Source organism: Homo sapiens, chromosome 15, assembly GCF_000001405.40.
Source record: "Homo sapiens chromosome 15, GRCh38.p14 Primary Assembly".
In the NCBI taxonomy this organism is placed as follows: domain Eukaryota; kingdom Metazoa; phylum Chordata; class Mammalia; order Primates; family Hominidae; genus Homo; species Homo sapiens.
This window is the reverse complement of record NC_000015.10, coordinates 47,840,075-47,846,649: the sequence shown is the minus strand read 5'-3', so window position 1 is coordinate 47,846,649 and position 6,575 is coordinate 47,840,075. Positions and strand designations below refer to the sequence as shown.

At 40.9% G+C, this 6,575-nt stretch overlaps 1 long non-coding RNA gene across 1 annotated transcript in view; it reads left to right on the top strand.

Annotated features, from left to right (window-relative positions):
- The first annotated feature begins 413 nt into the window (after positions 1-413).
- LINC01491 (long intergenic non-protein coding RNA 1491) overlaps positions 414-6,575 on the top strand; it is a 42,853-nt gene continuing 36,691 nt past the window's right edge. The window contains exons 1-2 of the long non-coding RNA NR_120336.1: positions 414-521; positions 1,685-1,812. This is a non-coding gene — a long non-coding RNA (long intergenic non-protein coding RNA 1491). The remainder of the gene's footprint in view (positions 522-1,684; positions 1,813-6,575) is intronic.

Below are 6,575 nucleotides of genomic sequence, written 5' to 3'. Positions count from 1 at the left end.
TTCCTCCTCTTCTTCTTCCCCTACTCCTTCTTCTTCTCCCCTTACTCCTTCTTCTCCTCCTCAATTATCTTCCTCCTCCTTGTCCTCCTTCTCCTGTTATAAAATAGTAGGAATGCATGATTTTGCTATAATTTTGCAAACAATAGTGCATAGAATGCCTGGACATGGGGAAATTTGGGTGCCACTCTGTACTAGTTTTCTATTCAGAAACAAGATGCAGTTATCTCATACACATAAAATGTTAATGAGCTGAGGCTCTGTGCCCACTGTGAACTACCCATGGCCTGGATCTGCTGTGGAGAACTCTGGAGATTGCTGGGTAGAATGTCAGAATTCAAGTGACCTCAAAGCCCTATTGTGACCAAATGGCTCTTGGTATGAATAGGGATGTTCACACTCAGGCCTGTGACCACAGAAAAAGTAGCCAGCCCACCATCCCTAGATGATTTTGCAGTCTTTGCACACCAGTGTGGCCATAGGCTTGTTTTCTCCTGGACTGAGCCTGCAGATCCTATGAGCAAGTAGGAAAATCTAATGTGAAAATATATGCCTTGCATAGGTTGTAATATCCAAAAAGTTACCACAGTGGAAAATGACTAATTAACCTTGTTGATCCTGGAGAGCCAGTACTTCGATCCTATGAGCCAAGACCATGTTAGTTTGCCAGGCAGGTTAGGCTAATCAGAGTTGGCCAGGATATTTTGTGCATACAGACACAGCCTGGATACCCACAATAAATAGTTTCTTGGCCTGATTTTCAATAAGCACTCCTTGTACATAGGGTTACTTCTGAACTTCCATTGTTGACCTAAGCAGCCTACTACTCTAACCTCTAAAGGACCAGTGCAGCAGGCATCCAGCCTTGCAAGCTCGCAGTCATAAACATTTTTCTGAGCTCACATAAGCCCATCCCAGAAACACCTTCATGCATTTCATAAAAGGACATAAAGGATCAATGAGTTGAATTTTGGCAAACCTAAGCTTCTTATACTTTAACTATTTTCTCTAAACTCTGTCTCAGCTTTCTTCGTTCATCTATGACAATTCTTCATCTATCATCAGATTTCTCATTATTGATCCCCACTCCACCCCTGCCACTCAAACAAGTTGGTTACTTTCTCTGTATTTGCTCAGTCAATTTCTTTTTTCTCACCTAAATTTGTCTCCCTCTAGCTCTTGTGGCTCTGGCTTATTTTTTATATTCTCCATAACTCTTTCCCCAGTAACCTCTAGAAAACACAAATATCTTCCCTTTTTTAATTTGCATCTTAGTAAATATTTATTGAATGTATATTTTATGTCATTATTATGTGCTGTGAAGAATATAAGGGCAAGTTAGGATATTTATCCTCAAAGAGCTTACGGTTTAAAGAAAAAACTAGTTAGATAGACAAGTATACCCCGAGGAAAAGGTGACTAACAGTGACTAGAGGGATGAGACCACAAAAGAAATTGCATTTGAACAGAGCTTTAGTGAATGTGAATTATCTTTGATTTCTGATTGTGTTTAGCACTTGCTGTATCTTGTACTACGGCATGTAATTACACCTAATGTGACCGTCCTTTAAAACATACAATTTATTTCATGCCCAATTTTGTCAACTGTGGGTGGGATTGGTCTCCCTGGAAGAGAGTAAACTCCTTTAGTGCAAGCCATGTCATCTTTTTTTCTTGTATTCCTCAGGCATATGTCCTGTGCTCCACTAGTCCTAGCTGGATCGTGGACATATTACCATCATTACAAATATCAATAGTTTGTGATTACTTCAAACAATCTGAAGTTGAAGGACCCCAGATATCCTTCAAAACAGGGTATGTTGTTCAGAATTATAATAGTCAATGTGATGCATTTCAAAATACTGCTGTCCTTCTTAAAGCTACTGTACCACTAGAGTCTGCCTAATGCCTCCAAAGGATCCTTTATAGAGGCCTCATTAGAAACATTGAGATCTTGGAACCTAAATTTAGAACTAAAGTAATCTGATGTTAGTGGCCACATATCAACCTCTTCTAGAGCACAGTTAACTCTGCCATATGGTCTAGCGTAATCAAAGGGGAGGAGCCTTCACACCAAGCCGATAGAGCCCACATGGGAAATGTTGGCCTTTCATTTCTCTCTTTCCCCATGAACTTGGTATTTCAGTAATACTTGTACTGTTACCTGGTGGAGGTTCATGGCCTCAGGAAACTTTGGCTCTTGACTGATGATTTTCCCCAGGAGTTTTTACAGCCAATCTTCTTCCTTGTTGGAATTGCTGGGAAGTAGGGATTACCATTTGTGAGCAACCCAAAACATGAGGCAGTGACTTCACATTTGGGGTGTCAGAGTTACCCATTAGTTTCCTGCTGGAAGCAGTATTCTTCTCAGGTGATTCCATTCCTCTGTCACCTCCCTCAAACTGTAGAAGTCAGCAAAGCCAGAATGTTGGTTTATCAGACATCAACATATGCTTATTCCTCCTGCCTCTCCCCCTTACCCAAGAAGACAGAATCGAGGGCTAGCCACTTGAATGTCTCTATGTGGCATTGCTTTCAAGATTTCAGCTATCACTGTCATGCAGCAATACCTTTTGGATCAGGAAAGCCTCACTGTCTAAGGACCTGATTTTCTGGACTGCTAGCTTGTGTTCAAGGATGTTAGTTTCCCAAGCATGGCACTTAGCAGTTTTAGGAAACGCTGATACCACTGTAGCAATTTTCCCCAATTTGTTCCTGACAAAGAAGTCTCTTCAAAATTGAGTTGGCTTCTTTTCTTTTATTCAAAAATGCTGGTAAACACAATTAGCCTCATTAACCTCAGTTTCTGTTTCATAACCGAAAATTAGCCTACAATCACTGGTTTGCTGGAAAGCACAGTTGTAATTAGTCTTTAACTGACTGATATGAAAAATCTGTCTCTTCTTTAATTTCTCTGACATCTCAGTGAATATGAAAACATGTCTGAACTCTCCCACATTGGCACTGGGGACACGAGTAAAAATAAATCAGGGATTTAAATCAAGGATCTCAAGCTGAGACATGAAAACCGATATTCTTGTACGTAGAAATTGGAGACAAGGGGGCATTTGTTGGGGAGGTGATAAGCAGAAGGTAGAAACCATGAAGTCTGTTCTCAACACCATTTCTAACATGTCCAAAGGAGGTTACTGGGACACTGACATCTACAGGCAAAGTTAAATGATTGTCTGTAAAAAAAACACTGGGAAAAAAGTACTTGCTCTCTTGGCACAGGTGAAAAATCACTATCTCAGCCCTTGAAATCAATTTTGTTGACCCGCTTTAGCAACAATGACTTTTTTTGTGAGCAAGATAAGAAAGTCACATTTCCTGAGCAATCTTGACACTTGCGTTGTTCTCAGGCTAGCACTTAAAGTTGGGACTTTTAGTTCTTGTGACCAGAAAAGCTGAGATCATGAGTTCAATCAAGAAACTCTATGGTCATCATTCTTCCAGTGGCTGGTACCCTGAGAGAAAATGTCCAGTGCAGGAAAGATGAGGATGTTCATTTCCTTTAGCTCAACTGATAATCTGCTAAGACAAAGGGAAAGCAATGTGAAGTAATTCAACTAGGTGTTTGGGTCTGAGTTTAACAGAGTGTGGCCTGGGGAGCCAGCCTGTGACTGGCATCCATATGGTGAAGTTCATAAATCTGGGTTAGTCACTGAGTAGTCTTAGTCCATTCAGGCTGCCATAATATGGGGAGCTTATAAACAACGTCTATTCATTTCTCACAGTAATGGAGGCTGGGAAGTCTAAGATCAAGGCAGATTTGGTGTCTAGGGAGGGCCTGCTTCTTGGTTCCTAGATGGCAGTCTTCTTGCTCAGTCCTTGCTCAAACGTGGTGGAAGGGGTGAGGGAGCTCTCTGGGATCCCTTTTATAAGAGCACTAACCCCAATCATGAGGGCCCTGCCTTCTTGCTCCAACCACCTTTACAAAGGCCCCACCTCCTACTACTGTCACCTTGGGCTTAGGATTTCAACCCGTGAATTTTGGGGAGATGCAAGCATTCAACCTATAGCACTGAGGTGGCTAATTAAGCATATACACCGAAGTGTGGCCCTTTCATACCGTTTGCTCTTAGAATGGCATAATAGATGAATATCTCAAGTATTAGAATCCTTAACACAGACATAATTCCTTTCTTTGCCACTTCACCCCCTCCCACACTGCTTTGTTCTAACTCTCACTAAAAGATTTTAATTTCCAAGTTGTTTCTCTACAGACTTGGATGGTGCCCCCTGGCATGCACCCCCTCAAGGCCTCTGAACTGCCTCCCTGTCAGTGTGGACTCCAGTTCGAGGGCTGTGAAATTGAGTCAAGTTGTTCTGTCTCGGTGCCCAAACTGCAAATGAGAAATCTTATAATTCAAATTGAAGTTCTCCTGTGTCACTCCCTGCTCCTTTTATCAAGCCTCATAATAGTGAAATAAAATAGTCACTAAATCAGAAAATAATCCACGGCAGTAAAGTAGCTTTTATTAGGCACTGAAGGCATTGGGTACAAATGAAATAATGAGAGAAGAAATTAATATTACTTCCTCTGTGCTTGTTGGAGAGAGTGGTGTGTGACACTTGACTGAGTGTCACATCTTTCTTATTCTCTTCAGCATTGTTTATATCAGAGGCTCTGTCTATGCAATAGCTAGGTTGGGAATAATGGCTATTGCAGTTGGGCAAGATAACTGGATCTAATTATTCAGAGTCCCCTGATAGAAGTGTCTGATTTCTATTTTAAGAGAATTCTGTTTTAGGAATTCCCAGGAATATGCCATTTAGGAACCACTGTATTCCAAAAAATGACACTGAGCCTCTTACTTGGAGAAACATGTTTGTGCTTAGTTGTCCCCCCTGTACTCTGCTTTCTCTGGCCTTACAGCCATATGCTTTCTCCATTTTATTTTCTGTTCATTTCAAACAAGTATTGCCTATCCTACACAGAGAAGAAAGAGCTTGGGGGTGGTTATTCTGACAAGACATTCAGGGATAGAGAAGCTCTTTTCCCCTGGCATTCATTTCTTGTGTGTTTCTTTTGAGTAATTAAACACAGAACGGTCACCTAGCATGCTGGCAATAACAGGAAATGGGAGGGGGGAACATAAAGTAAAAGCAAACAATCAATATGAGGAAGTCAACACTATGTTTTTGTTTTTCTTCCAGTTTCTTTAAAAAGGGATTAGCTATGTATCGATTATTCATATGCCACCTACTTCCCCAAAGATTTTTGAGGCAGTCCAACTTGATAGCCCCTCAGTAACACCTGCAAGTTCCTAGATTTAATTTCTTGGTAGAACAACAACAAGCCGATACAAAAATCTGATTTGAGTGCTTCTAAATTTCAGTGAAATAAAAAGTTTGTCTCAGCTAAAACACCTGTATTCACTCGTCCCAGTTCTCTGTTCCACAATCCAATCATGTTATTTTCATTTCAAGAAAGTATTTCCTTTCTTGCCTTGCTCAGATGCATGTGTTAAAACAGCAGCAATTACAAGATTTAACTCTTTCCATTTCTTGCACCTTATTGGCCCAGCCCAGTGAGGAGTGCAATCTGTATCTCCGTAGCTCCGGCATTTAGGGGGCCCAATGTCAGAATGAACCTTCTTTCAATAGAGCAGCTTATCTAGAGAATGACCACTCTCTGGATCAGTTCTTCTACTTGATATCATGATAGGAGTCATTTTGAAATTCTGAACTCTTTTCATTAAACTGGGTTGTTGCCATTCTGTGAAAATACTTTCAGCTTTCTCACTCCATGGTATTATTGATGCTATTCCTTTGGCCTGGACCTCTATTTAAACTCCCTGATACAATCCTCCTCATTCTTCATGGCTTTGCTGAAAGACGCTTGTCTCATCAAGCCTTGGGTATCGGTTATCAATTGTCACAATAAAGCTGCATAACAAATAACCGAGTTTTAGTAACATACAGCAATGAACTCTTTTTTTTTTTTATTTGCCTACAAGGTAACTGCATGGTTCTTAAGGTCTCAGTTGGTTTCACCCATGGATCTGAAGACAGCTGTGTGATGGTAGGAAGGTCTCCTGATCTTGGCTTGGTTGTCTCACATGCAAGGGGTTGGTTGGCTGTGAGGTGGCCTAGGATGGCCTTAGCTGGGACAACTATGCTTTCTTTTACATGACCTCTCATCCTCTAGCAGGTTAATTTAGGATTGGTCTCATGGTGGAGACAGGTTTGTGAAAGAAAGAGGAAATGGCAAGGCCATTTCCTTGAGGCTTAGGCTGACAGCTGGCACACCATCACTTCTGCTGCATTCTGTGGCCCAAAGCAAGTCACAAAGCCAACTCAAGGCTTAGGGAACTTGACTCTATCCCTCTGTGGGAGAAACTGCAAAGTTACATCACAAAGGGTGTGGAGAAAAGAATAAAAACTTGGAAAATTCTTGCAATCATTCTACCACAACTTGTATGATTACCTGTCTGGAGTAGTTTTCCACTGTGTTTTATTTTTACGTTTTTTGAAAGAAATTTAAAAATAGGATATCATTTGGGCACTTCTTTTATCTCCATCTATGACTCTTTTAAAATCAGAGGCTGTGATTCATTTATTGTTTGGTCCTC